General features: G+C 52.4%; 1 protein-coding gene across 1 annotated transcript, besides 15 other annotated features; it reads right to left on the bottom strand.

Annotated features, from left to right (window-relative positions):
- Nucleotides 11-100: an enhancer, noted in NCBI's record as "active region_13834". NCBI's record gives its function as "activates an Ori minimal core promoter by ATAC-STARR-seq in GM12878 lymphoblastoid cells {active_cell/tissue: GM12878}" and the evidence as "EXISTENCE:reporter gene assay evidence [ECO:0000049][PMID:35858748]".
- TNFSF9 (TNF superfamily member 9) lies at nucleotides 91-4,989 on the bottom strand. The gene is made up of 3 exons (NM_003811.4): nucleotides 4,712-4,989; nucleotides 3,199-3,229; nucleotides 91-1,415 (listed from the first exon to the last, which is right to left on the bottom strand). The coding sequence occupies exons 1-3, from the start codon at nucleotides 4,976-4,978 to the stop codon at nucleotides 949-951; spliced, it is 765 nt and encodes a 254-aa protein (NP_003802.1). The 5' UTR covers nucleotides 4,979-4,989; the 3' UTR covers nucleotides 91-948.
- Nucleotides 961-1,150: an enhancer, noted in NCBI's record as "active region_13833". NCBI's record gives its function as "activates an Ori minimal core promoter by ATAC-STARR-seq in GM12878 lymphoblastoid cells {active_cell/tissue: GM12878}" and the evidence as "EXISTENCE:reporter gene assay evidence [ECO:0000049][PMID:35858748]".
- Nucleotides 2,609-3,109: an enhancer, noted in NCBI's record as "H3K4me1 hESC enhancer chr19:6532917-6533417 (GRCh37/hg19 assembly coordinates)". NCBI's record gives its function as "activates a minimal SCP1, AML or CMV promoter by ChIP-STARR-seq in primed H9 embryonic stem cells {active_cell/tissue: H9 hESC(primed)}" and the evidence as "EXISTENCE:reporter gene assay evidence [ECO:0000049][PMID:30033119]".
- Nucleotides 3,110-3,610: an enhancer, noted in NCBI's record as "H3K4me1 hESC enhancer chr19:6532416-6532916 (GRCh37/hg19 assembly coordinates)". NCBI's record gives its function as "activates a minimal SCP1, AML or CMV promoter by ChIP-STARR-seq in primed H9 embryonic stem cells {active_cell/tissue: H9 hESC(primed)}" and the evidence as "EXISTENCE:reporter gene assay evidence [ECO:0000049][PMID:30033119]".
- Nucleotides 4,212-4,311: an enhancer, noted in NCBI's record as "active region_13832". NCBI's record gives its function as "activates an Ori minimal core promoter by ATAC-STARR-seq in GM12878 lymphoblastoid cells {active_cell/tissue: GM12878}" and the evidence as "EXISTENCE:reporter gene assay evidence [ECO:0000049][PMID:35858748]".
- Nucleotides 4,722-4,791: a silencer, noted in NCBI's record as "silent region_9959". NCBI's record gives its function as "represses an Ori minimal core promoter by ATAC-STARR-seq in GM12878 lymphoblastoid cells {active_cell/tissue: GM12878}" and the evidence as "EXISTENCE:reporter gene assay evidence [ECO:0000049][PMID:35858748]".
- Nucleotides 4,932-5,161: a silencer, noted in NCBI's record as "silent region_9958". NCBI's record gives its function as "represses an Ori minimal core promoter by ATAC-STARR-seq in GM12878 lymphoblastoid cells {active_cell/tissue: GM12878}" and the evidence as "EXISTENCE:reporter gene assay evidence [ECO:0000049][PMID:35858748]".
- Nucleotides 7,082-7,341: an enhancer, noted in NCBI's record as "active region_13831". NCBI's record gives its function as "activates an Ori minimal core promoter by ATAC-STARR-seq in GM12878 lymphoblastoid cells {active_cell/tissue: GM12878}" and the evidence as "EXISTENCE:reporter gene assay evidence [ECO:0000049][PMID:35858748]".
- Nucleotides 7,772-8,001: an enhancer, noted in NCBI's record as "active region_13830". NCBI's record gives its function as "activates an Ori minimal core promoter by ATAC-STARR-seq in GM12878 lymphoblastoid cells {active_cell/tissue: GM12878}" and the evidence as "EXISTENCE:reporter gene assay evidence [ECO:0000049][PMID:35858748]".
- Nucleotides 13,675-13,924: an enhancer, noted in NCBI's record as "active region_13829". NCBI's record gives its function as "activates an Ori minimal core promoter by ATAC-STARR-seq in GM12878 lymphoblastoid cells {active_cell/tissue: GM12878}" and the evidence as "EXISTENCE:reporter gene assay evidence [ECO:0000049][PMID:35858748]".
- Nucleotides 17,772-17,901: an enhancer, noted in NCBI's record as "active region_13828". NCBI's record gives its function as "activates an Ori minimal core promoter by ATAC-STARR-seq in GM12878 lymphoblastoid cells {active_cell/tissue: GM12878}" and the evidence as "EXISTENCE:reporter gene assay evidence [ECO:0000049][PMID:35858748]".
- Nucleotides 17,952-18,001: an enhancer, noted in NCBI's record as "active region_13827". NCBI's record gives its function as "activates an Ori minimal core promoter by ATAC-STARR-seq in GM12878 lymphoblastoid cells {active_cell/tissue: GM12878}" and the evidence as "EXISTENCE:reporter gene assay evidence [ECO:0000049][PMID:35858748]".
- Nucleotides 19,312-19,481: a silencer, noted in NCBI's record as "silent region_9957". NCBI's record gives its function as "represses an Ori minimal core promoter by ATAC-STARR-seq in GM12878 lymphoblastoid cells {active_cell/tissue: GM12878}" and the evidence as "EXISTENCE:reporter gene assay evidence [ECO:0000049][PMID:35858748]".
- Nucleotides 19,312-19,883: a biological region, named in NCBI's record as "H3K27ac-H3K4me1 hESC enhancer GRCh37_chr19:6516143-6516683".
- Nucleotides 19,343-19,883: an enhancer, noted in NCBI's record as "H3K27ac-H3K4me1 hESC enhancer chr19:6516143-6516683 (GRCh37/hg19 assembly coordinates)". NCBI's record gives its function as "activates a minimal SCP1, AML or CMV promoter by ChIP-STARR-seq in primed H9 embryonic stem cells {active_cell/tissue: H9 hESC(primed)}" and the evidence as "EXISTENCE:reporter gene assay evidence [ECO:0000049][PMID:30033119]".

Raw genomic sequence — 27,620 nt, 5'->3', positions numbered from 1 at the left:
TGGGGAAACTATGGGGCTGAAGAAACTGGCCAGCTCTGTAGAGCAGAGACGGACAGCGTGTGCTGGTAATTTAACAACCAACTCTCCAGAGGGAGGAAAAATGAGTGTTTATTATAAATTGTACTGGCATGTAAACAACCTTGGCAACATAGCAATACCGTCTCCGCAAAAAAATTAAAAAGTTAGCCAAGTGTGGTGGCACACAACTGTGGTCCCAGCTACTCGAGAGGCTGAGATGGGAGGATCACCTGAGCCTCGGGAGGTCGAGGCTGGAGGCTGCATTGACTCATGATTGCACCGCTGCATTCTAGCCTGGTTGACAGAACAAGACCATCTCAAAAAAAAGAAAGAAAGAAAAAAGCTAGCCCCCAAGTATCACACAGGAGGTGGAGGCTGGGGATGAGTCTTTAAATTCCTCACGTATTACCATAACTCAGATTTTCTTTCAGTCTATTTCTAGATGTTTCTATAGCCCCCTAGCCTGGGCACAATGCTGGCACATTACAGATGCTCAATACACACAAATAAGCAAATAAGTACAATGAATTAATAGAAAGGATGAATCCCAGTTGCTTGGGAGGCTGAGGCAGGAGGATCGTCTAAGTCCAGGAGTTCAAGACCAGCCTCGGCAATGTCGAAGACCCCCCCCCCCCCAAAACAACTCCTCTAAAAAAGTCCATTCACAAACTCAGGATCCTCTTTAAATAGAAATATATATATATATATAATATATATAATATATTATCTGAGCTCAGGCTCAGAATAAATATCAAGGTCCAACTTGGGGAAGGAGTGGGTGAGGAGGGTCCTCAAGGGGAGGTCAGCAGCAGGGACCCCTGCCAAGCCCCTTGAGGTAGAGAAAGCAGCAGGGACCCAGCACCAGGGGTCTCCATGAAGGATGGAGTAGGATTCGGACTCTGTCCAGGTGGGCTGCACCCAGGCTGGACGTTATTCCGACCTCGGTGAAGGGAGTCCGGCTGGGATTTCGGGGGTCACCCGGAAGAGTCCCAAGACTGTGGCGCCCTGGGTAAGCTGCCAGGCATGGCGTGCCCTGGCCTCAGTGTGAAGATGGACGCCCAGGCGCTGGCCGGCACTCAGGTGCAGCAAGCGGCCCTGGAAACCGAAGGCCGAGTTCCGAGCCTCGGAGGAGGCGGGTGGCAGGTCCACGGTCAAAGCCAGGGCGGCGGCCCCAGCAGCAGAGCGCAGTGGCTGCAGGTGCAGCGCAAGTGAAACGGAGCCTGAGCCCTCGCCGGCCACCACGCGCCGCAGCTCTAGTTGAAAGAAGACATAGTAGACTCCAGCCTTGGCCACCACCAGCTCCTTCGTGTCCTCTTTGTAGCTCAGGCCCCCCGTCAGGGACACGCCTGCCAGGCCTGGGTCACTGTACCAGCTCAGGGGCCCATCGATCAGCAGAACTGTGGGAGGAAAGCATGCACTTAGCTTAGCTGAGCATGTCCCAGCACAGCTGAGCGTGGCTGAGCACCGAACATGTCAGCGCAGCCCTGGGAGAAAAGAACGGGTCAGGGGCCGGGGGGCGGGGAATGGCGGGGCAGGGAGCGGGACAGGGGAGCAGAGCGGGGAGCCTGGGTGGGGGGGGCGTTGGGGGGGTGCTGATTGAAGAGAACTGAGGTTGTTGGGGGCGGGACTCTGAGCAGGGGTAGAGCTAGGGGAGGGAAAGACGGGGATAGAACAGAGGAAGGGAATCCAGGGAGAAGGACAAGAGTCGGGACAGGGCAAAACTCCAAGAGGTTGGGTGGGGAAGGAGTGATGCGGGTGCGGGGAAAGACATGCAGGAAGAGGAAGAGGGGGTGAAAAGCAAAAGGCCAGGCGAGTCTGGCTGGAAGAGGCCTCGGGGAGGGGTAAGGGGACTCCTGGAGAGGGCGGTGAGGGGGTTGGAGGGAGCAGCAGATCTCGGACAGGATGGAGATGGGGGGAGGAGAAGGGAGAGAAGGAAGGAAAGGGGAGAGGAGAGGTGGACAGGGAGCTAGGAGGGAGAGGGAAGACTGTTAGGAAAGGAGGAAGTTCTAGAGGAAGGATCCATCAGGGAATCAAGGGAACTTTAAGAGGGGTGGACAGGGGACCTGGTAAGAGAGGACTTCGAAGAAAGGCAAAGGGAGCAGGAAGGGGTGGGGGAGGGGTTAGGGAGAAGGAAGCACCAAGGAGAGAAGATGGCAGGGAGGGGAGTCTTAGGCAGGGGGAGGGAAGGGGGAAGGGGTCTCTGGAGGGGGAGAAGGGAGAAGGTGTCTCTGGAGGGGGAGGGGGAAGGGGGAAGGGGCCTCTGGAGGGGAAGGGGACTCTGGAGGGGGCAGGGAAGGGGGAAGGGGTCTCTGGAGGGAGAGGGAAGGGGGAAGGGGTCTCTGGAGAGGGAGGGGAAGGAGGAAGGGGTCTTTGGAGGGGGAGGGGGAAGGGGTCTCTGGAAGGGGAGGGAAGGGGAAAGGGGTCTCTGGAGGGGGAAGGAAGGGGGAAGGGGTCTTTGGAGGGGGAAGGGGTCTCTGGAGGGGAGAGGGAAGGGGGAAGGGGTTTCTGGAGGGGGAGGGGAAAGGGGGAAGTGATCTCTAGATGGAGAGGGGAAGGGGGAAGGGGGTCTCTGGGAGGGGAAGGGGGAAGAGGTCTCGAGCGGGGAAGAAGTCTCTGGACGGGGAGGGAAGGTGCTGGGAGGAGTGTCTTGGAAACTGGGAGAGCATGGGGCTGGGGAGGGTTTGGGGAAGGGGCAGGGAGGAGGGTCTAGGGGGAGGGAAGGGGACAGGAGGAGGGCCTGGGGATGGGGAAGAGAATGGGAGTAAGGAGGAGGCTCTGGGCGAGGGGAAGAGGTAGGGAAGAGAGGCTGGGAGAGTGGGGAAGGGGCAGGAAAGAGGGAAGAAAAGCAGCGGGGAAGAGGGTTTCGAAAAGAAGGAGGCCAGAGACACAAAACCAGGCTGGGGGTTGGGGGTGTCAAGCCCCAGCTCTGAGAGGGCAGGGGTCCCAGGTGGGCCCAGATGGGGGTCTGATGGGGAGGCCATGGCATCCAGAGAGTCAGAGCAAGTCAGAAAGAGGGATCGGTGGCGTTCAAAGAGGGGAAGTAGCAGCTTTCAGAGACAGCAGCGGTCAAGGGTCAAAGCCAGTGTGCGGCAGAGCCTCACTCTCCAGGTTCCCCCTTCTTCGTATCCCGGGGTGGGGATGGTGGGGGGCCAGGGACCGGAAGTGGCGGAGGATACTTACCATTTTGGGCCACCAGCTGCGCAAACATGCCCTGTTAAAAGTAGAAAGGAGGAAAGTGGATGGGGGTTCCCCTAGAAAATGGAGGTTCTGTCCCCACTCACTTCAGCTGTCAGGGTCCCCAGAGTCTGTGCCGACCTGAAGCCTACGCTTCCCTTCCCTCCCAACTAAAGAACAGAGACCGCACACACACACACACAAACACACAAACACACGAACACAAACACAAACGAACACACACACGAACACCCACATTAACACACAGACACACGAACAAACACGAACACACACACGAACGCAAACACAAACACACACAAACACCCACACGAACACACACAGACACACACGAACACAAATATCCAAACACACCCACATGAACACAAACACCCACACGAACGAACAAACACAAACACCCACACGAACACACACCCACACGAACACAAACACACCCACGAACACACACACATACGCACCCCCACACGAACACACACACACGAACACAAACACCCACACAAACACGAACACACACACACACACACACACACACACACACGAAGCTGGTGGCTCAACCTGCCCCAAGGACAGATCTCCAAGAATTCAGGAGGGAAAAGCGATCCCTCTTCTTTCCAGCCCCCTTGGGGGTATTCCCCTGGGGGTCTTGAAAGGGAGAGGGGTACCTCAGATGTTGGGGATAAGGCTCTTTGGGAGTTAGCAAAGGAACTGGGGGTCTCCTTGGCGGTCCCAGATAAAGAGGAAGTGCCCCCCTCGGATCGGGGATGGAAAAAAGGTTCCCCCCAGAGATGCAGAGCTTGTGGGGGTGCGGGGTAAAAAGAGGTGCCCTCAATGTCCTAAGTCCTACATAGAGAAAGGAAGCCGTCGAGGGTTGGAGAACCGCGGAGGGTCCCCCGTCCAGGGTGCAGATGGGGTGCCTTGGGAATGCGGAATGAAGAGGGGTGCCCCCACCCACTGCCACATGGAGGGAAGCCAGCCTTTCTCCGACCCGGGGTGCAGAAGACGTATCCCTGAGGGGTTGAGGACTGTGGGGGTCTCCTCCTCCTGGCCTGGGGTGCTGATGGGGTCTCGGGATGCGGAATGAAAGGGGTGCCCTCCCGTGCAAGACGGAGAAGGAGAGCCCTTGGAGGTCCAAAAAGAACTTGTGGGGGTCTCCTCTCCCCCTCCCGGGATACAGATAGGGTCTCGTAGCGGGCGCAGGATGAAAGGGGTGCCCCCCGGACTAGAAGAAGGAGACCCTTGGGGGGTCCAAAAAGAACTGTTGGGCGGTCTCCTCCCCGCCCCCGGCCTGGGGTACAGATGAGGTGTCGTAGGGGTGCGGGATGAAAGGTGTGCCCCCCCGGCCTCGGTGCTAGATGGAGAATGGGAGCCCCGGTGGGTCTCCTCTCCCCGGCCGGGAGTGTAGAACAGGTGTCCCTGGGGGTGCGGGAGGGAGAAGGGAGTCCCAGAGGGGCGGTAGGGGTCTCCCGCGAGACCAGCTACCGAGGGTCGGGGCACGTCTCACCTGCCGCAGGTCCAAGAGGCCGGCGGGATCGTCGGGCGAAAGCTCGGGACCCTCGCGGAGTCTCGGGCTGGCCGCGGAGCCGGGCGAGGCGCGAGCCCCGGACACGGCCCAGGGGCAGGCGAGGAAGACGGCGCAGGCGGCAGCGAGCAGCAGCAGCAGCAGCAGCCCCGCGACCAGGGCCCAAGGCAGTACGCGGCAGGCGCGAGCGCGGGGCGCGGGAGGCCACGGGGCTTCGGGGTCCAGTGAAGCGTCAGAGGCGTATTCCATGACGAGAGACTGCGGGAAGACACAGCGCGCCGCTTTTTATAGCTGCTTGGCTACAAAAGGAGGCCACGCCCCTCCGCCCGCGGCCACGCCCCTCCGCCCGCGGCCACGCCCCTTCCCAGCCCAGAGCCTTTCCCCTCGTCCCCGTGACTCTGCGGAATTTTCTCCACTCGGATCTCTCTCCGCTTTTCGCTCTCCTTTCCGTTTCCGGCCTTCCAAGCTCGGCTCCAGGTTCCTTTCTCCCTGCTGTCTCTCCATCGCCCTGGTTCTCCCTCTCTGCCGCTCTTTCCCGGTATCTCTGTGGGTCTCTTGCTGACTCAGTCTCCTTTGCTCTCTGTGTCTCCCCGTTAACGTCTTTCTCTGTCTCTGTTGATTGCCTCTGCAGTGGGTGGAAAGAGATCTTTCTCTCTCTCTGCCAATTTATGTCTATGCGTGCCTCTGTGCCTGTATTATCTCTGTCTCTGTCTCTCTCTATCTCTGTCTCTAATTCTCTCTCCCTGTCTCTGGCTCTGTTATCTCTGTCTCTGTATCTCTCTGTCTAACTCTGTCTCTGGCTGTTATCTCTGTCTCTCATTGTATCTCTCTCTGACTCTCTCTCCCTGTCTCTGGCTCTGTTATCACTGGCTCTGTCTCTCTATCTGTCTTCTCTCTCTCTGCCTCTGACTCTCTCTCCCCATGTCTGGCTCTGTTATCTCTGTCTATATATCTCTCTCTGTCTCTGACTCTCTCTCCCTATCTCTGGCTCCGTTATCTCTGTCTCTGTATCTGTCTCTGGCTCTGTTATCTCTGTCTCTCTATCTCTGTCTCTGACTGTCTCTGGCTCTGTTATCTTTCTCCCTCTCTCTGCTTCTGTTATCTCTGTCGCTGTCTCTGGCTGTGACTCTCTCTCTCTGTCTCTGTGTCTGGCTCTCTCTGTCTCTGTCTCTGACTCTGTCTCTGGCTCTGTTATCTCTGTCTCTATGTCTCTGTCTCTGTGTCTCTCTCCCTGTCTCTGGCTCTTTTATCTATGTCTGTCTGTCTCTTTCTCTCTGTCTCTGACTCTCCCTATCTCTGGCTCTGTTATCTCTGTGTCTGTCTCTCTGTCTCTGACACTCTCTCCCTGTCTCTGGCTCTGCTATCTCTGTCTCTGTATCTCTCTTTGTCTCTGCCTCTCCCTGTCTCTGGCTCTTTTATCTATGTCTGTCTTGTGTCTCTTTCTCTCTGTCTCTGACTCTCCCTATCTCTGGCTCTGTTATCTCTGTGTCTGTCTCTGTCTCTGACACTCTCTCCCTGTCTCTGGCTCTGTTATCTCTGTCTCTGTCTCTCTGTCTCTGGCTCTGTTATCTCTGTCTCTGTATCTCTCTTTGTCTCTGCCTCTCCCTGTCTCTGGCTCTTTTATCTGTGTCAGTCTGTGTGTTTCTTTCTCTCTGTCTCTGACTCTCCCTATCTCTGGCTCCGTTATCTCTGTCTCTCTCCATCTCTGACTCCCTCTCTTTATGCATCTCTGTGTCTCTCCCTGTCTCTGTATGTCTCTGGCTCTCACTCTTTCTGTCTCTCTCCCTGTTTCTCTCTGTCTCTGATTCCCTCTGTCTCTCTCTGACTCTCTGTCTCTCCCTGTCTCTCTCCTTTTCCTTCTTTAGTCTCTCTTTGTCTCCTTCCCCTCCTCTCAGCACCCCCTAGCCCCCCATCACTAGGACTCCCCCGGGTTCCCCCACATCCAGCACTTCCTAAGAAGGGTCAGGCTTCAGCCAAGCCTCAACCACCCTCACTCCTGGAGCATCTGCCCCCTGATCCCCAACCCCCCAGTGGAACCCTGAGTGTCATGCTCAGCCCTCCTGGCCACCTTCCCCGGGACCCCTGGGCCTTCCCTGGCCTGCCCCCACCCACCCACTGGATGGTTCCCGGCAGGAGCCCCTCGGGACCCTACAAGCAGAAGCTCGGAGAGTCCAGGTGGAGAAATTCCCCTTGCAAGAAAGGGACAGTGTTGAGCGAGTTGGAGGAAACACATTTCCCATCTGCTCTGGCCTGCTGGAGGCGGCCAATCCGGGGCTGGGAGGATGGGCCAAGAAGCGGTGAAAACTTGGCCCCAAAAGAGGAAGCACTCCCAGATGGAGAGGGACGTGACCCGGGGAAAGCCCTTGGCTGGTGTTGAAGTCCTGGTCTGCCCAGACCAGTGTGGGTCCACAATGGCCAACTCCCTTCCCATCTCCCAGCCCCATGGGAGATGGGAGGGTAGACCACGCCTTTCATCCCTCTGCTAGCAGAAGTCAACAGCCCATAAAATAAAGGGACTTTTGTTTTGCTTTCAGATACAAGGTCTTGCTCTGTCGCCCAAGCTGGAGTGCAGTGGCACGATCATAGCCCACTGCAGCCTCCAATCCTGGGTTCAAGCCATCCTCCTGTCTTAGACTCCTGAATAGCTGGAACTACAGGCACATACCACCATGCCTACCAATTTTTTTTTTTAATTTTTTACTTTTTATAGAGACAGGGTCTTGCTATGTTGCTCAGCTGGTCTCAAACTCCTGGACTCAAGCAATGCTCCTGTCTTGGCCTCTCAGCACTGTGATGCCAGTCATGCGTTACCGTGCCCAGTCATAAGGTAGACTTCTCATTCAACAGAACAAGTATCTTCCAGGTCAGCACTGTGTCTGATCCTGTATTGGGCCTCCCTGGGGGATTGCAGAGAAAACAGTAATGTTACTGGCTAGTGTTGAAGGAGCATTACCAAATGCTAAACACTTCCTATATACGGTTTGGGTACTCCACGTGTGAGGCCCGACCCAGCAACAGGGCCACTATCAATTAGCTATGCAAATTCTAGCACCCCGCCTAAACCTCCGGAAACTCTCAGAGGGGGTGTCCTCCAGAAGATTCCGACGGCCCCGCAAGTTTGAGAATGCCACTTGTGCCCACGTTTTTCCTTCGCATCTGCTATTCCTCGGCCTGGAACATTCTTTCCCCAGAACCGCAACTGCCAGACACTTTCTCACCACTCATGTCTCCCTTTACACCATCCCTTCCGGGTCAAGATGACAAACTGAACCAGCCTCTGTTTTCACTGTCTCCTGAAACTTCACTGTAGTCACACTTGAGCAATTGTTCGTAAACCAAAAAAAAAAAATTACAAGCCAGCAGAACGGAAAGGTGAGTTTCCTTAGATTTCCACCACCCCTAAGACCTACTCGTTGGTGAATCCCCTCAACTATGAATAATGTGGTGGATGGCGGCTAAAATACAGAAGTTTGCCATAGATAAATTTGCAGAAGAAGGCCGGGCGCAGTGGCTCACGCCTGTAATCCCAGCACTCTGGGAGGCTGAGGCAGGTGGATCACCTGAGGTCAGGAGTTCAAGACCAGCCTGACTAACATGGTGAACCCCATCTCTACTAAAAATACTAAAATTAGCCAGGCGTGATGGCAGATGCCTATAATCCCAGTTACTCGGGAGGTTGAGGCAAGAGAATCCTTGAACCCGGGAGGCGGAGGTTGCAGTGAGCCGAGATCGTGCCACTGCACTCCAGCCTGGGTGACAAAGTGAGACTCTATCTCAAAAAAAAAAAAAAATTGCAGAAGGGACACCAACTCCTCTCCACTTTCCATAAGAGAGAATCAGAGAAGCAATTTTTTGTTTTAAGATAGGTTCTCAGCCCAGCATGGTGGCTCACGTCTGTAATCCCAGCACTTTGGGAGGCTGAGGCGGGTGGATCACTTAAGTTCAGGAGTTCAAAACCAGCCTGGGCAACATGGTGAAGCCCTGTCTCTACTAAAAAAAAAAAAACTACAAAAATTAGCTGGGCATGGTGGCACTAGCTTGTAGTTCCAGCTACTTGGGAGGCTGAGGCGGGAGGATCACTTGAATCTGGGAGGTGGAGGTCACAGTGAGCCAAGATTGTACCACTGCACTCCAGCCTGGGTGACAGAGCAAGACTCCGTCTCAAAAAAAAAAAAAATAGACAGCATCTCACTCTGTTGCCCAGGCTGGAGTGCAGTGGTGTCATCGTGGTTCATTGCAACCTCAAACTCCTGGGCTTAAGTGACTCTCCCACCTCAGACTCCCCAAAGTGCTGGGACTACAGGTATGAGCCACCTCACCTGGCCCTTTCTAAGTAATTTTTATTTTTTTGAGGCAGGATTTCACACTGTCACCGAGGCTGGAGTGCAGTGGGTAATGACAGCTTACAGCAACCTCAACCGCCAGGCTCAAGCAATCCTCTCACCTCAGCTTCCCCAGTAGCTAGGACTATAGGTGCGCACCACAATGCTCAGCTAATTTAGTATTATTTGAAGAGATGGGGTTTCACCATATTGCCCAGTCCACCTCCTTGGCTCAAGTGATCCGCTCATCTCGACCTCACAAAGTGCTGGGATTATAGGCGTGAGCTACCTCGGTGGGCTGCTGAGTCGCCAGGTCCTTTTTCATTCTTATTTTTTATTTTATTTTATTGCATTTTTTCCTAAGTGAATGCACACAGGATATTTTATTTTATATGTTAATTGAGACGGAGTCTCTCCATGTTGCCCTGGCTGGTCTCTAACTCCTGGGCTGAATGGGTCCTCCTGCCCTGGCCTCCGAAAGTACTGGGATTACAGGTGTGAGCCACGGCGTGCAGCCTTTTTTTTTTTTTTTTTTTTTTCCCTTAAGAGAAAGGAATGGCCGGGGCGGTGGCTCAAACCTGTAATCCCAGCACTTTGGGAGGCCAAGGCAGGTGGATCACAAGGTCAAGAGATCGAGACCATCCTGGCCAACATGGTGAAACCCGTCTCTACTAAAAATACAAAAAATTACATGGGCGTGGTGGTGCGCACTGTAGTCCCAGCCACTCGGGAGGCTGAAGCAGGAGAATCGCTGGAACCCAGGAGGCGGAGATTGCAGTAAGCCGAGATCACCCCACTGCACTCCAGCCTGGCGACAGAGCAAGACTCCGTTTCCAAAAAAAAAAAAAAAAAAAAAAAGCAGAAAGGAAAACGGGCTGGGCGCGGTGGCTCACACCTGTCATCCCAGCACTTTGGGAGGCGGAGGTGAGTGAATCACCTGAGGTTAGGAGTTCAAGACCAGCCTGGCCAACATGGTGAAACCCCGCCTCTACTAAAAATACAAAAAAAAGTTAGCCAGCATGGTGGCACATACCTGTAATCCCAGCTACTCAGGAGGCTGAGGCAGGAGAATTGCTTGAACCCGGGAGGCAGAGGTTGCAGTGAGCCAAGATCGCACCTTTGCACTCCAACCTGGGCGACAAGAGTGAAACTCCATCTCAAAAAAAAAGCAAAAAAAAAAAAAAAAAAAAAGAGAGAGAAAGGAAAATGGCAGGGTTTCTGGAAAGAGAAAAAAAAATGGCAGGTAGTGGGAAACAGGAGTGTTCATTGAACCTGGAATGTGAATGTTGAAATTAAGACACACACATGCCCTCAGCGCTTGCCTCTACTCCCTCCACATCCAGGATCCAGAAGATGCATAGGTAGAAGGTCGCTCTCCAAGGAAGCTGACCAACCAGGAATAAAGATTTTTTTTTTTCTTGAGACAGTTTTGCTCCGTCATCCAGGCCAGAGTGCAGTGGCACCATCTCGGCTCACTGCAACCTCTGCCTCCTTTTAGTAGAGACAAGGTTTCTCCATGTTGGCCAGGCTGGTCTTGAACTCCTAACCTCAAGTGATCCACCCGCCTCAGCCTCCCAGAATGCTGGGATTACACACATGAGCCACTGCACCAGGCCAGGAATAAAGATTTAAAGATACTGATGTCGCTGAGCATGGTGCCTCATGCCTGTATTCCCAGCTACTCAAGAAGCTGAGGTGGGAGGACTGCTTGAGCCCAGGAGGTCAAGGCTGCAGTGAGGTATGATTGTACCACTGCACTCCAGCCTGGGCAACAGAGCGAGATCCTATCTTTAAAAAATAAATAAAATAAATAAAAAAAGGAAAAGAGAAAGAAATATAGCATAAAGGTTAAGAGCACTCTAGGCCGGGCGTGATGGCTCACGCGTGTAATCCCTACACATTGGGAGGCCGAGGCAGGAGGATCACTTAAGGCCAGGAGTTCGAGAGCAGCCTGGCCAACATGGTGAAACCCCGTCTCTACTAAAAATACAAAAATTAGATGGGTGTGGTGGTGCATGCCTGTAATCCCAGCTACTCGGGAGGCTGAGGCAGGAGAATCGCTTGAACCTGGGAGGCGGAGGTTGCAGTGAGCCGAGATCACACCACTGCTCGCCAGCCTGGGCAACAGAGCAAGGCTCTGTCTCAAAAAAAAAAAAAACTTAATTAATTTTAAAAAGATTTAAAGATCCTGATGCCACTGGGCATGGTGGCTCATGCCTGTAGTCCCAGCTACTTAGGAGGCTGAGTTGGAAGATCACTTGAAACCAGAAGGTTGCGGCTGCAGTGAGCTAGGATCGCACCACTGCACTCCAGGCTGGGTGACAGAGTGAGACCCTATCTCAAAAAAAAAAAAAAAAAAAATGAAAAGAGAAATAATTATAGCATAAAGGTTAAGAACACTCTAGAGCCAGGATCAGCAAACTCCAGCCAAAAGCTAAATATGGCCCACTGCCAGTTTTTGTACAGCCTTGTAGATGAAGATCCTTTCACTTAATTGTTTTTGTTTTTGAATGTCTGGAAAAATGTCAAAAGAAAAATAACATTTCCTGACATGTGCAAATGATATGACTTTCCCATTTACTGTCCATAAATAAAGTGTGCCTGGCACACAGCCACACTCATTCATTCCATATTGTCTTTTCTGGTTTTGTTTTTGTTTTTGTTTTTGTTTTGAGATGGAGTCTCGCCCTGTCGCCCAGGCTGGAGTGCCATGGCATGATCTCGGCTCACTGAAAACTCTGCCTCCCAGGTTCAAGCAATTCTCTGCCTTAGCCTCCTGAGTAGCTGGCATTACAGGCACCCGCATCCATGCCTAATTTTTATGTTTTTAGTAGAGACAGGGTTTACACCGTCTTGGCCAGGCCGGTTTTGATCTCCTGACCTCCTGATCCACCTCTTTGGCCTCCCAAAGTGCTGGGATTACAGGCCTGAGCCACCGCACCTGGCCTTCATTCATTCGAACTCCCAGGCTCAAGTGATCCTCCCTTCATTCCGTATTGTCTATGGTGGCTTTCCTGACACTATGGTGGAGTTGAAGAGTTGTGAAAAGGGACTGACTAGCTCACAAAGCCCAAAATATTTACTGTCTGGTCCTTTTCAGAAAAATGTTTGCTGCCTGTGGAGTCTTCAATTCCAGCTCTTCAGAGTTCTGGCTGTGTGGGATGGGCACAGTGGCTCATGCCTGTAATCCGAACACTTTGGGAATCCAAGGTAGGAGGATCGCTTGAACCCAGGAGTTCAAGACCAGCCTGGGCAGTATAGCAAGATCCCATCTCTACAAGAAAAAAAAAACAAGGCCGGGCCAACATACTGAAACCCCATCTCTACTAAAAACACAAAAATCAGCCAGGCATGGTGGCACACACCTGTAGTCCCAGCTACTTGGCGGACTAAGGCAGGAGAATCTCCTGAACCCGGGAGGCAGAGGTTGTGGTGAGCCAAGATCACGCCACTGCACTCCAGCCTGGGCAACAGAGCAAGACTCCATCTCAAAAAAAAAAAAAGAAAAGTAATTAGCCAGGTGTCATGGCACACACCTGTGGTCCCAGCTACTCAGAGAGGCTGAGGTGGGAGGATCGCTTGACCTGGGGAGGCAGAGGTTCCAGTGAGCTGTGGTCATACCACTGCACTCCAGCCTGGGCAAAAAAGAGCAAGACCTTGTCTTTAAAATAAAAACAAAAATAAAAAAAGAAAGACAGGCTGGGCATGGTGGCTCATGCCTGTAATCCCAGCACTTTGGGAGGCTGAGGCAGGTGGATCACCTGAGATCGGGAGTTCGAGACCAGCCTGATTAACATGGTGAAATCCCGTCTCTACTAAAAATACAAAAAATTAGTTGGGCATGGTGGCACATGCCTGTAATCCCAGTTACTTGGGGGGCTGAGGCAGGAGAATCGCTTGAATGCGGGAGGCAGAGGTTGCAGTGAGTGGGGATTGTGCCACTGCACTCCAGCCTGGACAACAGAGCAAGACTCTGTCTCAAAAAAAAAAAAGAAAAAAAAAAGAGAGAGAAAGAGTGGGAGTTTTTGCTGTGTGATCTTGGGCAAGCTGCTTCACTTCTCTGATTCAGCTCATTGTTCAGATGTGTTAAATGGGAATCATAGTGGATCTCAAAGAATAGTGGAAAGCTTGCTCTGAGCACCGTGCCGAGCACATAGTAAATGTTCAATAAAGGCAACCTGTCATTGTGATGGTCACTGACGTTTCTCTACAGCTCTGTGGTACAACATCATCCCTAAAACGTGGGCACAGAAATTAAAACTCCAGAAAGTGAGGTCTCTTGGCCAAGGTCTCACTGTGACTGGTCTGAACTCCTATCTGTGCTGGGGGGCTTGGCGGAGCTCTGAACATGCCCCCCAGGGAAGGGAAACAAGACCTCAACGCCTGGGGAAGACTCAGGCCGCAGTCAGGGAGCGCCGTGACGCACTGTGGTCGGGACATCTGAGCCAGGCGGCCCCGCCCACCGTGGAGCACTCAACGTCACCCTCTTAGCACCTCACGTTTGCTGGAGTCACACCTCTGTGCTCAGCTGTCTCCTCGAAGTAAGCGTGGGCCCTGGTTTTCCTCACCCACTGGGGAAGGGCCTCACTCTCCACCCTCACCATCACAGGCCTTGAGGGAGGGATTGCACAGGAAGTAGTTGGAAGGGACAGCACCCCAGGCTGTGCCAGGGGGGCCCTCCTTCTTCTGCCTCTGAGGTTGAGTGAACAGACTCCTCCCCCAGGAAGTCCACCTTGATTGTTTCCCAGCAACAATCTTCTCCTCTCAGGGTCCTTGTAGTGTGTCTCCCATCATGTAGCCAGTGACCTCTTCGAGGGTTAACTTTTACCTGGCCTGGGTCCTCTATCTACCCCAGGGCAGAGTGAAGCCTAACAGAGCATTAGTGGTGTGAGCGGAGCAATTTGCATGAGTCAGACAGCTACGGAGTGAGCTAGGGGCCAGATGGAACTGAAGAAAAGAGGAAAGGAAAGTGTGGAGTGAAGTGCATCTTATTGTTTTTTGAGACACGGTCTCGCTCTATTGGCCAGGCTGGAGTACAGTGGCATAATCATGACTCACTGCAGCCTTGAACTCCCAGGCTCAAGTGATCCTCCCACCTCAGTCTCCTGAGTAGCTGGGACTACAGGCACGTGCCACCACACTCAGCTATTTTATTATTCTTATTATTATTTCTTGTAGAGATGGGGTCTCACTATGTTGCCCAGGCTGGTCTGGAACTCCTGGGCTCAACCAATCCTCCTGCCCCAGCCTCCCATGTATTAATAGCTGGGACTACAGGTGCACACTACCATACCCTGCTATTTTTTTTTTTTTTTTTTTTTTTTTGAGATGGAGTCTCGCACTGTCGCCCGGGCTGGAGTGCAGTGGCGTGATCTCAACTCGCTGCAACCTCCGCCTCCCAGCTTCAAACGATTCTCCTGCCTCAGCCTCCCAAGCAGCTGGGATTACAGGCACCCACCACCACGCCCAGCTAATTTTTTGTATTTTTAGTAGAGACAGGGATCCACTATGTTAGCCAGGCTGGTCTCCTGACCTCGTGATCTTCCCGCCTCGGCCTCCCAAAGTGCTGGGATTACAGGCATGAGCCACAGCACCAGGCCTTTTTTTTTTTTTTTTTTTTTTTTTTTTTAAAGACGGGGTCTCGCTATATTCCCCAGGCTGGTCTCCAACTCCTGAACTCAAGTGATCCTCCTGCCTTGGCCTCCCAAAAATGCTGGGATTACAGGCATGAACACCCAGCCTGAGATTGATCTAGAGCCATAAAGGAGTGTTTACACATGTTGAGGAGAAAAGAGACACAGAGAGGGGAATTACATCATCCAAATGAGTCGAGTAGCTGGAAAAGCTACATCCAGGTCTCTGGAAAACACAGACTGGCACCCGAGTGTGTGCACCTGGGGTTTTGTGTAAGAGTTGCAAGGTACAGGCCAGGCATGGTGGCTCACGCCTGTAATCCCAGCACTTTGGGAGGCCTAGGCAGGCAGATCACCTGAGGTCAGGAGTTCGAGACTGGCCTGGCCAACATGGTGAAACCCCCGTCTCTACTAAAAATACAAAAAAATTAGCTGGGCGCAGTGGCGGGCGCCTGTCATCCCAGCTACTTGGGAGGCTGAGGCAGGTGAATCACTTGAACCCACGAGGCAGAGGTTGCAGTGAGCCGAGATTGTGCCACTGCACTCCAGCCTGGGCATCAGAGCAAAACTCCGTCTCAAAAAAAAAAAAAAAAAAAAAAGAGTTGCAAGGTACATTCTCGCTTAGACTGGTCTGGAACTCCTGAAGTTGAGGAAACGACCACAGCATTTCCTCAAGAGATCCTCCCGTCTCAGCCTCCCAGGGTGCTGGGATTAGAGGCAGGAACCACCACTCCCAGCTTGCAAGGTATGATTGTGCACAGCAAGTGAGCTTTGTGAAGTTGAGGCACACATCCTGCTACTCTGGGACTGAGTGTCTCTGATGTGATACTGTGTACTCAGGAGGATGCATGCGGGCATCGATGTGTTTCCAGTTGAGCAGCACCAGAGCATAGGATTTGACTCACTTGGCTTCAAATCCCAGCTCTGCCTCTGCTGGCTACATGACCTTGAAATCTCTCCATCTCTCTGTGCCTCAGTTTCCCCGTATATGAAATGAGACTAACACCAGTGACCACCTTGTGGGACTGTTGTCCAGAATCAGGGAGCCAGAATAGTGCCTGGCATACAGCAGGTGCTCAATAGGACCAGCCATCATTGCTGCCAGTGGGCTGAGAGTGTGGTGCCTCCACGTGACTGTGTACATGGGTTGATCTTGTTTGGGCAAAAAGGAAGGCATGGCCGGGGGCTCACACCTGTAATCCCAGCACTTTGGGAGGCTGAGGGGGGCGAATCACTTGAGCTCAGGAGTTCAAAACTAGCCTGGGCAATATAGTGAGACCCCGTCTCTACTAAAAATACAAAAATTAGCCAGGCGTGGTGGTCCACACCTGTAATGCCAGTTACTCGGGAGTCTGAGGCAGGAGAATCCCTTAAACCCGGAAGGTGGAAGTTGCAGTGAGCTGAGGTCACGCCATTGCACTCCAGCCTGGGTGACAGGGCAAGACTTGTCTAAAAAAAAAAAAGGCCAGGTGCAGTGGGTCATGCCAGCCTGGCTAACATGGTGAAACCTTGTCTCTACTAAAAATACAACAAAAATTAGCTGGGCATGGTGGTGGGCGCCTGTAATCCCAGCTACACGGAAGGCTGAGGCACGAGAATCGCTTGAACCCGGGAGGCAGAGGTTGCAGTGAGCTGAGATCATGCCACTGCACTCCAGCCTGGGTGACAGAGAGAGACTCAGTCTCAAAACAAAACAAAATAAACAAAAAAACAAAAATAAATAAATAAAAACAAGGGGCAGGCAGGAATATGTGGTGCAAAATTGTTGAAGATGAAAATAACTGCATTGGTCATCAGAAGGAAAACTGCCAGGTTATTACTCACAGAATCGGTTTAAAAATTAAAAACATGTCTGAGTCATCTCTTGACAGAGATCTCCAAGGGCTAAGAGAACAAGGCACTCAGACTTTGCCTCCTCTACTCTTTCAAAGATTAAGGTTTTTAGTGTGAAATGGGCCTTACCCATCAGGTTGAGTCTCTGTCCTGTTTGAACTTTAGGTTGAAAATTTGGCGTGATTATTCTATGTAATTGCTTTTTTGGGCAGATGGTTTACAAAACCTTTAAAGGGGGCTAGGCGGCCGGGTGCGGTGCTTCACACCTGTAATCCCAGCACTTTGGGAGGCGGGGGCGGGCAGATACGAAGTCAAGAGATCGAGACCATCCTGGCCAACATAATGAAACCCCGTCTCCACTAAAAATACAAAAATTAGCTGGGCGTGGTGTCGGGCCCCTGTAGTCCCAGCTACTCGGGAGGCTGCGGCAGGAGAATCGCTTAAACCGGGGAGGTGGAGGTTGCAGTGAGCCGAGATCACACCACTGCCCTCCAGCCTGACAACAGAGTGAGACTCCATCTCAAAAAAAAAAAAAAAAAAAAAGAGGCTGGGCATGGTGGCTCACGCCTGTAATCCCTGCACTTTGGGAGGTCCAGGCAGGTGGATCACGAGGTCAGGAGTTCGAAACCAGCCTGGCCAACATGGGGAAACCCCATCTCGACTAAAAATACAAAAATTAGTCAGGTGTGGTGGCGCATGCCTGTAATCCCAGCTACTCAGGAGGCTGAGGCAGGAGAATCACTTGAACCCAGGAGGCAGAGGCTGCAGTGAGCCGAGATCATCATGCCACTGCACTCCAGCCTAGGCAACAGAGTGAGATTCTGTCTCGGGGGAACAAAAAAAAACCTTTAAAAGAATAACCAAGTGAGGAAAAAAAGAAACGAAAGCAAGGTGCAGGCTGCTATGTGCAGAATGCACGCTTTGGGTTTCAGAGCAGAAATAGGTTTGTATAAAACATTTCAGAAAGATGTGCAAAAATTGAGGGTATTGGGGTGAGAAGATGTGGATGTTTCATGGTGTATGATTTTGCATGCTTGCATTTTCCATGGGTTCGTTTTGTTTGCTTTGTTTTATTCTTTTTGTTTTAACATTAAGCACAGAATCGTGGCCAGCTTTCACACACGCAGAAAGAAACCAGTGGCCAGAGCCACTTGGAGGAAGGAAACTTTTTGTACCTAGTGACATCAAAGGCAGGAAATGGTGTTTCCCTGTTGAGGGCAGTGGAAGGAGGAGTCAGGGTTGGGGAAGACCCAGGCAGACTTGGGGCAGACCCAGCGACCCCTTCCAAGAGCATGAAGAGGCAGCTCACGGTGCTGGGAAGTCAACCCGCTTTGGAAAGGGAATCCCAGCAGGGTAACTACCTGGAAAGGACTTTCCAACTCCCCTGGGGGAGGGACACAAGTAGACACACACAGACACCAGAACACAAAGGGCACACCCATTCTGGACATATACAATCACACAAAACAAGACAGACATACAGACACACCATGCAGACATACACACAATCACACACACACACACACACCTGGACACACAATCATAGATACACAACAACCATCAAAGCTAGCCACAGACCGGGTGCAGTGTCTCACGCCTGTAATCCCAGCACCTTGGGATGCCAAGGCAGTCAGATCACTTGAGGTCAGGAGTCCGAGACCAACCTGGCCAACATGGTGAAACCCTGTCTCTACCAAAAATACAAAAAAAAAAAAAAAAAAAAAATAGCCGGGCGTGGTGGTGAGTGCCTGTAGTCCCAGCTACTAAGGAGGCTGAGATGGGAGACTCGCTTGAACCCGGGAGGCAGAGGTTGCAGTGAGCCAAGATGGCGCCGCTGTACTCCAGCCTGGATGACAGAGTAAGATTCTGCCTCAAAAAAAAAAAAAAAGCTAGCAACAGACACACACAAGGACACAAGAGACATATATTCAGGGCATATAACCAAACACACCGAGACTAGAACACACCAACACAGACACACCATCACACACATACCAAAACAGACATGGAGGTACACAACACACACGTACACGGTTACACACTGAGACAGACACCCAAAGACACAATCGTAGATACACATACATGGCAGGCACCATGGCTAGTCATAGACATAACGCAAGAACACACGTTATGGGCATGCACAATCACACACACAGAGGTCCAGGTCCAATCCTACGACCATCCAAGGTCTGCCCCGCTCCCAGAGGAGTCCCCAGGGACTACCCCTCAGAACACCCAAGTTCCACCCTGTACCCACAGAGGACCACCCAAGATCCACTCCCGCCAGGGAACCCAGGACTCACCCCTCAGACCACCTAGGATCCATCCCCCAAGAGGAAACTCAGGCCCTTCCCTCTGGGGACCTCCCCCTCCCTCCCCTGAGGAACAATCACTCTGGGCCCCTTTTCTCCGCAGCGATACCCAGCTTGGGCAGCGGGCGCCCCCTGGTGGACCTGGAGCCCCAGTCCAGGACTGCACGGAGCTGGGGCCCAGGAGCCAAGGCGCGCGGGGAGTTCCGGTGCTCTAGGACTTGGGAGCATTCACGGCAGAACCGGGGAAGGAAAGAGCGTGGAGACGCGGGAAGGGGAGATGGGAGGCCGGAACTGGATCGGGCAGGGCATTAAGCGCGGGAACAGAACGTCGGAAGCAGGAATGGGTTGGAGGCGGTTGGACCGAAGACCTCCTACTCCCGCACCCCAGCCAGCCCCGCGTCTCCACCCGGCAGGTGCGGCTCCTGGACCGCGGAAGACCCCGGAGGCGGATTCCCAACGAGGCACAGCGAGGGCAGGGTCGGGGAGGTTAGAGTGCTGAGGGTGGGAGGTCTTCGGTCCCACGGCCGAAGCTCGCCTAGTCATGGCTCTCAGCCTGGAAGTAACGCCAAGAAATCGCCCGAGACTGGGAATGCCCAGCGCTCAGCCTGGATGATCACCAGCACCAACGTGGCTTTGGCTCGCGGGTTCAAGAGAAAGATGGGCCCGCCCCTTCCACGACTGATCCTGTCAGTCTACCGAAGCCCCATTCCGCTGTCATCCGCCTCCCACCTCCCTAGCTTCTCCCCAGGCCCCGCCCTCGTACCCATCCGTTTGCCTCTCAGGCTCTGCCCACTCCTCAGTCCTTCCCACTTTCCTGTCATTCTCTCGAGGACCGTCCGCTTCCCCAGCAGACTCCCAGGCCCAGCCCACTCCTCAGTTCCCCTACCCCACGGTCATTCTCCCTAGACTCCGCCCACTTCATAGTTATTTGTCTCCCAGCCCTTGCTAACTCCTTAGTCCCTCCCACTTCCCTGTCATTCTCCCCAGGCCCCGCCCACTTCCCCTGCTGTCCGCTCCAGGCCCTTCCCACGCCACAGTTCCTCCCAATATTATCTCCAGGCCCCGCCCACTTCCCCTGTTATCAGCCTCCCAGACCCTGCCCACTCCTCAGTCCCTCACACCTCCCTGTCATTCTCCCAGGCCCCGCCCATTTCCCAATCATTAGTGACCTGGGAATAGGGCCTGGAGACTCTTCGTGCCCCACTCTGTTTTCTGCTTTTTTTTTTTTTTTTTTTTTTGGAGACGGAGTTTTGCTCTTGTCGTCCAGGCTGCAGTGCAATGGTGCGATCTCGGCTCACTGCAACCTCCGACTCCCGGGTTCAAGTGATCCTCCTGCCTCAGGCTCCCGAGTAGCTGGGATTACAGACATGCACCACCACGCCCGTCTAATTTTTTTTTTTTATTGTATTATTAGTAAGGACAGGGTTTCACCATGTTGGTCAGGCTGGTCTCGAACTCCTGACCTCAGGTGATTCACTCACCTTGGCCTCCCAAAGTTGTGGGATTACAGGTGTGAGCCACCGCGCCTGGCACTTTTCTGCTTTTCTTAGTCCATACCACCCTCTCCTCAGGCTCGGCACCTCTCCCCCTTTGAGGGTTTGTCCTGTCTCAACCCCTAGCCCCTTTTCTGGGTTCTGCCCTTCCGGAGTCCTGCACCCTCTTCCCACTCCAGGTTTTCAAGCCATGCTCATCCCTCACCAATTTCGCTGGGACTTGCAGCCGCCCTTTGATTCCTTTAGGCCTTGCCCCATTCGTTCTGCCCTCCAAACATGCAGGCTCTGCCCTCACCCATAATCCGCATGTACATCCACCAAGACCCCACCCCAGACCTGCCACGCCCCTGGTGTGGGGTGGGGGCTGTGTCTTAAATCACTAACAGGAGCTACGGAGGCCTTGGTTTCTCCACCCCACCCTTCCTCCATGAGGCCTGGTCTGAGTGGGTGAACCCATCCCAAAGCCCTCTGCTCCCCTGACGTGGAAAAGGTCACCACGTGGGGTGATGGCCCCACCCCAGCAGGAATCCTTTCTCAGCACCAGTGGCCTGGGGACTGGCACAGGATGCCCCCCAGCCACTCCACTGTCACCAGAACTCCGGCACCACCAAGATGTTGGATGCGGCTGGACACAGTGGCTCACGCCTGTAATCCAAGCACTTTTGGAGGCCGAGGCGGGTGGATCACCTGAGGTCAGGAGTTCCAGACCAGCCTGGCTAACGTGGTGAAAACTGTCTCTACTAGAACTACAAAAAAGTTAGCTGGCCGTGGTGGCACATGCCTGTAATCCCAGCTACTCAGGAGGCTGAGGCAGAAGAATCGCTTGAACCCGGGAGGCAGAGGTTGCAGTGAGCCAAGATCACGCCATTGTACACCAGCCTGGGCAGCAAAAGTGAAAATCCATCTCAAAAAAAAAAAGAAAAAAGGCCGGGCGCAGTGGCTCACACCTGTAATCCCAGCATTCTGGGAGGCTGAGGCAGGCAGATCGCCTGAGGTCAGGAGTTCGAGACCAGCCTGGCCAACATGGTAAAACCTCGTCTGTACTAAAAATGTGAAAAAATTAGTCAGGCATGGTGGCCAGCACCTGTAATCCCAACTACTCTGGAGGCAGGAGAATTGCTTGAACGCAGGAGGTGGAGGTTGCAGTGAGCCGAGATGGTGCCACTGCATTCCAGCCTGGGCAACAGAGCGAGACTCTGTCTCAAAAAAAAAATGTTGGATGCTTCTGACTTTTTCTATCTGATGCTGGGTGAGCCCCTCCATACCAGCCTTGAGCACCCCCAGCCTGAAATTCAAGGGACTATGTTGGGGTCAGTCTGCTTGTCTGTCTTTATCTGAGGGTCGCTGGACTTGGGGGATGGCAGTCTGCCCTGGCTTGTGGACTGCGGTCGTGTGTATGTCCATCCGTGTGTGTCCTTGTGTGGGGGCGTCTGGGTCAATGTGTGTTTGAGTGAATGAGAGAAAAAACTCCCTACGGTGTGGCTTTTGTGTCCAAAGCACCCAGCGTGTATGCCCGTGTGTTGTCAGCTCCCTGGGTCTGTGCGCTGGCTTTTTTTTTTTTTTTTTTTTTTGAGTTGTGTCTCCAGGTCTGTCTGTAGGGCTGTGCAGATACATTGCATATCTCTGTGTATGTTTGATTGCATGTATGTAGTATGTGTGTACCCAAGTCTGTATTGTGTTTTTTGTTTTTTGGGGTTTTTTATGGAGACAGAGTCTTGCTCTGTCACCCAGGCTGGAGTGCAATGGCACAATCTTGGCTCACTGCAACCTCCGCTTCCTGGGTTTAAGTGATTCTCCTGCCTCCGCCTCCCGAGTAGCTGGGATCACAGGCGCACACCACCACCCCCGGCTAATTTTTGTATTTTTAGTAGAGACAGGGTTTCACCATGTTGGCCAGGCTGGTCTCGAACTCCTGACCTCAGGTGATCCACTCACCTTGGCCTCCCAAAGTGCTGGGATTACAGTCGTGAGCCACCACGCCCGACGTGTGTTGTGTTTATAACCATGTATAATAGTCTGGCTATGTCTTAGGAGACTCCATTTTGTTCTGTACTAAGAAAAATTTTTCTGCCTTGGGATGCTGTTAATCTATAACCTTACCCCCAACCCCGTGCTCTCTGAAACATGTGCTGTGTCCACTCAGGGTTAAATGGATTAAGGGCGGTGCAAGATGTGCTTTGTTAAACAGATGCTTGAAGGCAGCATGCTCCTTAAGAGTCGTCACCACTCCCTAATCTCAAATACCCAGGGACACAAACACTGCGGAAGGCCGCAGGGTCCTCTGCCTAGGAAAACCAGAGACCTTTGTTCACATGTTTATCTGCTGACCTTCCCTCCACTATTGTCCTATGACCCTGCCAAATCCCCCTCTCCGAGAAACACCCAAAAATGATCAATAAATACTAAAAAAATAAAAAAATGAAAATAGTCTGGCTATGTCTGTCCTGGGGTCTGATTCTAGGGCTATGTATCTGTGTGTATCTCATTGTGTGTGTGTGTGTGTGTGTGTGTGTGTGTGTGTGTGTGTGTGTGTGTCTTTTTTTTTTTTTTTTTTTGAGACGGAATCTCTCTCTATCACCCAGGCTGGAGTGCAGTGGTGCCATCTGGGCTCACTGCCAGCTCCGCCTCCCGGGTTCATGCCATTCTCCTGCCTCGGCCTCCCCAGCAGCTGGGACTACAGGCGCATGCCGCCATGCCCGGCTAATTTTTTTTTTTTTTTTGTATTTTTATTTTTAGTAGAGAGGGGGTTTCACCGTGTTAGCTAGGATGGTCTCGATCTCCTGACCTTCTGAACCGCCCACCTCGGCCTCCCAAAGTGCTGGGATTACAGGCGTGAGCCACTGCACCCATCTGCTCTCTCTCTCTCTCTTTTTTTTATTTAAAAAAAAAAAAAGGAGTCTCACTCAGGCTGGAGTGCAGTAGCACAATCTCGGCTCGCTGCAACCTCCACCTCCTGGGTTCAAGTGATTCTCATGCCTCAGCCTCCAGAGTAGCGGGACCACAGACATAAGCCACACACGCTACCTAGGAGGCTGAGGTGGGAGGATCACTTGAGCCAGGGAGTTGGAGTCTGCAGTAACTTATCATCCTGCCACTGCACTCCAGCCTGGGCAACAGAGCAAGAACTTAACTCAAGATAGATGGATAAATACATTAATTAATTAATTAATTAAAATAAAACTCCAGTCTCCCGTTCATCCAGCTCTGCATGAATTAAACTCTTTGTTGCAATTCTCCTGTCTTGATACATCCATTCTATCTGGGCAGGGGACAAAGTGAACCCACTGGGCAGTTACAGAGCCCTGCAGATCAGCCTGGGAGAGATGATTCATGTCCATGTGAACCCCAAATATCAGAGGCGGGTCTCAGTGAATTTAGTTTTTTATTTTTTACTTTTCTTTTTTTTTTGAGACGGAGTCTCACTCTATTCCCCAGGCTAGAGTGCAGTGGTGCGATCTCAGCTCACTGCAACCTCCGCCTCTTGAATTCAAGCAATTCTCCTGCCTCAGCCTCCTGAGTAGATGGGATTACAGGCATGTGCCACCACACCTGGCTAATTTTTGTATTTTTAGTAGAGATGAGGTTTCGCCATGTTGGCCAGGCTGGTCTCTAACCCCTGACCTCAGGTGATTCACCCGCCTCAGCCTCCCAAAGTGCTGGGATTACAGGCGTGAGCCACTGTGCCCGGCCATCAGTTAATTTAGAAAGTTTATTTTGCCAAGGTTGAGAACACGTATATGTGACACAGTCTCAGGAGATCCTGATGACATGTGCCCAAGGGTGGTCAGAGCACAGCTTGGTTTTATACATTTTAGGGAGACATGAGATCAACATATGCAAGATGAACATTGGTTCGGTCTGGAAAGGAGGGACAACTGGAAACAGGGAAGGGTCTTCCAGGTCATAGGTAGATAAGAGACAAATGCTTGAATTCTTTTGAGTTTCTGATTAGCCTCTCCAAAGAGGCCAATCAGATATGCAGGTATCTCAGTGAGCAGGTGGGGACTTTGTTCTTGTTGTTTTTTGTTTTTTGTGGGGTTTTTTTTTTTTTTTTTGAGACGGAGTCTTACTCTGTAGCCCAGGCTGGAGTGCAGTGGCGTGATCTCTGCTCACTGCAAGCTCCGCCTTCTGGGTTCACGCCATTCTCTTGCCTCAGCCTCCCAAGTAGCTGGGACTACAGGCGCCTGCCACCACGCCTGGCTAATTTTTTTGTATTTTTAGTAGAGACGGGGTTTCACCATGTTGGCCAAGATGATCTCAATCTCCTGACCTCATGATCCGCCCACCTCGGCCTCCCAAAGTGCTAGGATTATAGGCATGAGCCACCGCGCCCGGCCCTTGTTTTTTGTTTTTTGAGAGGGACTTTCCCTCTTGTCACCCAGGCTGGAGTGTAATGGCATGATCTTGGCTCACTGCAACCTCCACCACCCGGGTTCAAGTGATTCTCCTGCCTCAGCCTCCCAAGTAGCTGAGATTACAGGCATGCACCACCAGGCCCGGCTAACCACCAGCCTCAGCCTCCCAAAGTGCTGGGATTATAGGCATGAGCCACCACGCTGCCTGGCCAGAGGGGTGACTTTGAATAGAATGGGAGGCAGGTTTGCCCTAAGCAGTTGCCAGCTTGACTTTTTCCTTTAGTTTAGTGATTTAGGAGCCCCAAGATTGATTTTTCTTTCACAATCAGAACCTGCAGCCGAGCTTGCTGGCCTTCAACGGTAAAATCTACAGGGTCATGGTTTACGAGCAGCGGGGCACCTTCATCTCTGGTGACATGGTCAGCTCCTCCCTGACCAGAATCTCCAAGATGACCATGGATAGCCTGCAGCCCCACTTTCTGACCATGTGCCTGCCACATCCGGCCTCCTTAAACTGTGAGAGCAACTGCACACCAGCTACACCTGCACCGGGTGCCCAGACGAGGTCCTCACTGCTAGGCAATGGGGTGGGTAGGGAAGAGGAGTTCAGAAAGTGTCCCCTCCCCATTCCAGCCCCAGCCCTAGCTGATGTCAACACTCCTCCCTCCCCATCTCCCAGGAAATCCTTCTATTATTATTTCTTTTCTTTTTCTTTTTCTTTTGAGATGGAGTCTTGCTCTGTCTCCCAAGCTGGAGTGCAGTGGTGCAATCTTGGCTCACTACAACTTCCCCTGCCCAGGTCCAAGTGATTCTCAAGCCTCAGCCTCCCAAGTACCTGGGACTACAGGTGCCTGCCACCATGCCCAGCTAATTTTTTGCATTTTTAGTAGAGACGGGGTTTCACTGTGTTGGCCAAGCTGGTCTCGAACTCCTGACCTCAGGTGATCCGCCCACTTCGCCCTCCCAAAGTGCTGGGATTACAGGTGTGAGCCACGGCACCTGGCCCTATTTTTTTATGGTTTTTTTTTTGTTGTTGTTGTTTGTTTGTTTGTTTGTTTTAATAGAGATGGTATCTGGCTTTGTTGCCCAGGCTGGTCTTGAATTCCTGGCCTCAAGTGATCCTCCTGCCTCAGTCTCCCAAAGTGCTGGGATTACAGACATAAGCCAACACACCTGGCTCAGGAAATCCTTCTAGTTTATTTACTTAATTATTTTAAATTAGGGACAGAGTCTCACTTTGTTGCCCAGGCTGGTCTTGAACTCCTGGCCTCAAGCGATCTTCCCTGCTTGGCCTCTTAAAGTGATTACCCGTGTGAGCCACTAGGAAATCCTTCTATTCTGAACATGCCTTCTTCGGGATGTACTGCATGGGGTATCTGGTGGCAGTAGGCCCAGCAAGGCCAGAGAATGCTCCATTGTCCCCCTCCCCACCCCTTCCAGCACCCCCCACCCCATAATTGGTCCCAACAGTGCCAGGCACGGCTTCCACAGAGCTTGTGTGTGTCCCTGGAGTTGGGAGGGCTTCTCTTAAGACTCATTCAGCATCCCTGTCTCAGAACAGTAACCGTTCCAACCCTCTGTCTCCCGCTGCCTCTAGCTGGAGAGGGCCCATGCTGGCTGTGTCAATGCCCAGGGCTGGGCTCCACCCTGGCAGAGGAAAAGGAAATCAGACTCTACCGTCTGGGTGGGGAGGTGGAAGGAGGGGCCGGGGAGAAGGGGTGGCAAGGACCTTGGGAAAAGGGCCAGTGACCCACAGGCCAAGTACACAAAGACAGCATACATTCCGATGCTGGAAGCTGACAGCACACATCAGAGCCAGCCGGGAACACCGGGCACCGTGGTGGGCAGACACATGACACGGAGAGGCCCAGGCCACGGAGCACGTGACAGTCACACGGCTGCCTCAACACCAGCAACATTTTCCTCCTGAAAGACAACTCACTGGATTGCCAGCCTTTTGGGTTTTTTTGTTTTTTTTTTCTTTTGACACAGAGTCTCGCTCTGACACCCAGACTGGAGTGCAGTGGCGCAATCTCAGCTCACTGCAACCTCCGCCTCACGGGTTAAAGCAATTCTCCTGCCTCAGCCTCCCTAGTAGCTAGGATTACAGGCACCTGCCATCATGCCCGGCTAATTCTTGTATTTTCAGTACAGACGGGGTTTCACCATGTTGGGCAGGCTGGTCTCAAACTCCTGGGCTCAAGCAATCCACGTACCTTGGCCTCCCGAAGTGCTTGGATTACAGGCATGAGCCACTGTACCCCGCCTCTTTTTTTTTTTTAAGATCAAATAACTGGATGGGCATGGTGGCTCACGTCTGTAATCCCAGTAATTTGGGAGGCCAAGGTGGGCAGATCACCTGAGGTGAGGAGTTTGAGACTAGCCTGGTGTGATGGCCAACATGGTGAAACCCCGTCTCTACTAAAAGTACAAAAATGAGCCGGGTGTGGTAGTGTGCATCTGTAATCCCAGGTACTCAGGAGGCTGAGGCAGGAGAATCACTTGAACCCAGAGGCAGAGGTTGTAGTGAGCCAAGATCATGCCACTGCACTCCAGCCTGGGTGACAGAGCAAGACTCTGCCTCAAAACAAAAAACAAAACAAAAAAAGTCAAATAACAAAGTAACTCCAACATCCTGTAGCGATAAAGAGCAGGGTCTTTGGACCTGGAATGCGGGGCTCTTTTGACTCTATTCCCAGCCTCAACAGTATGGGACAGTCAGGTGAGATACTCAACTTCCTTAGGCCTCCATTTTCTCATCTGTAGAATAGGCATAGAACAGCAACTACCTCCTAGGTTGTGGTTTCATCAGCTAAAAATATAAACAAGCTGGCCAGGTGCCATGGCTCACGCTTGTAATCCCAGCACATTGGCAGACCAGCCTGGCCAACATGGCGAAGCCCCATCTCTACTAAGAATACAAAAATTAGCCGGGCGTGGTGG

Source organism: Homo sapiens, chromosome 19 (genome assembly GCF_000001405.40).
Source record: "Homo sapiens chromosome 19, GRCh38.p14 Primary Assembly".
Taxonomy (NCBI): Eukaryota; Metazoa; Chordata; class Mammalia; order Primates; family Hominidae; genus Homo; species Homo sapiens.
This window is presented reverse-complemented; position numbering and strand designations above follow the sequence as displayed.

What these genes read in the sequence shown, in the direction of transcription:
- TNFSF9 (NM_003811.4), bottom strand. Translation starts at nt 4,978, where the DNA reads ATGGAATACGCCTCTGACGCTTCACTGGACCCCGAAGCCCCGTGGCCT. An exon ending in GCCTCTTGGACCTGCGGCAG is followed by an intron (nt 3,230 to 4,711) that starts GTGAGACGTGCC and finishes TACTTTTAACAG; the next exon opens with GGCATGTTTGCGCAGCTGGT. An exon ending in GCAGCTGGTGGCCCAAAATG is followed by an intron (nt 1,416 to 3,198) that starts GTAAGTATCCTC and finishes TTCCTCCCACAG; the next exon opens with TTCTGCTGATCGATGGGCCC.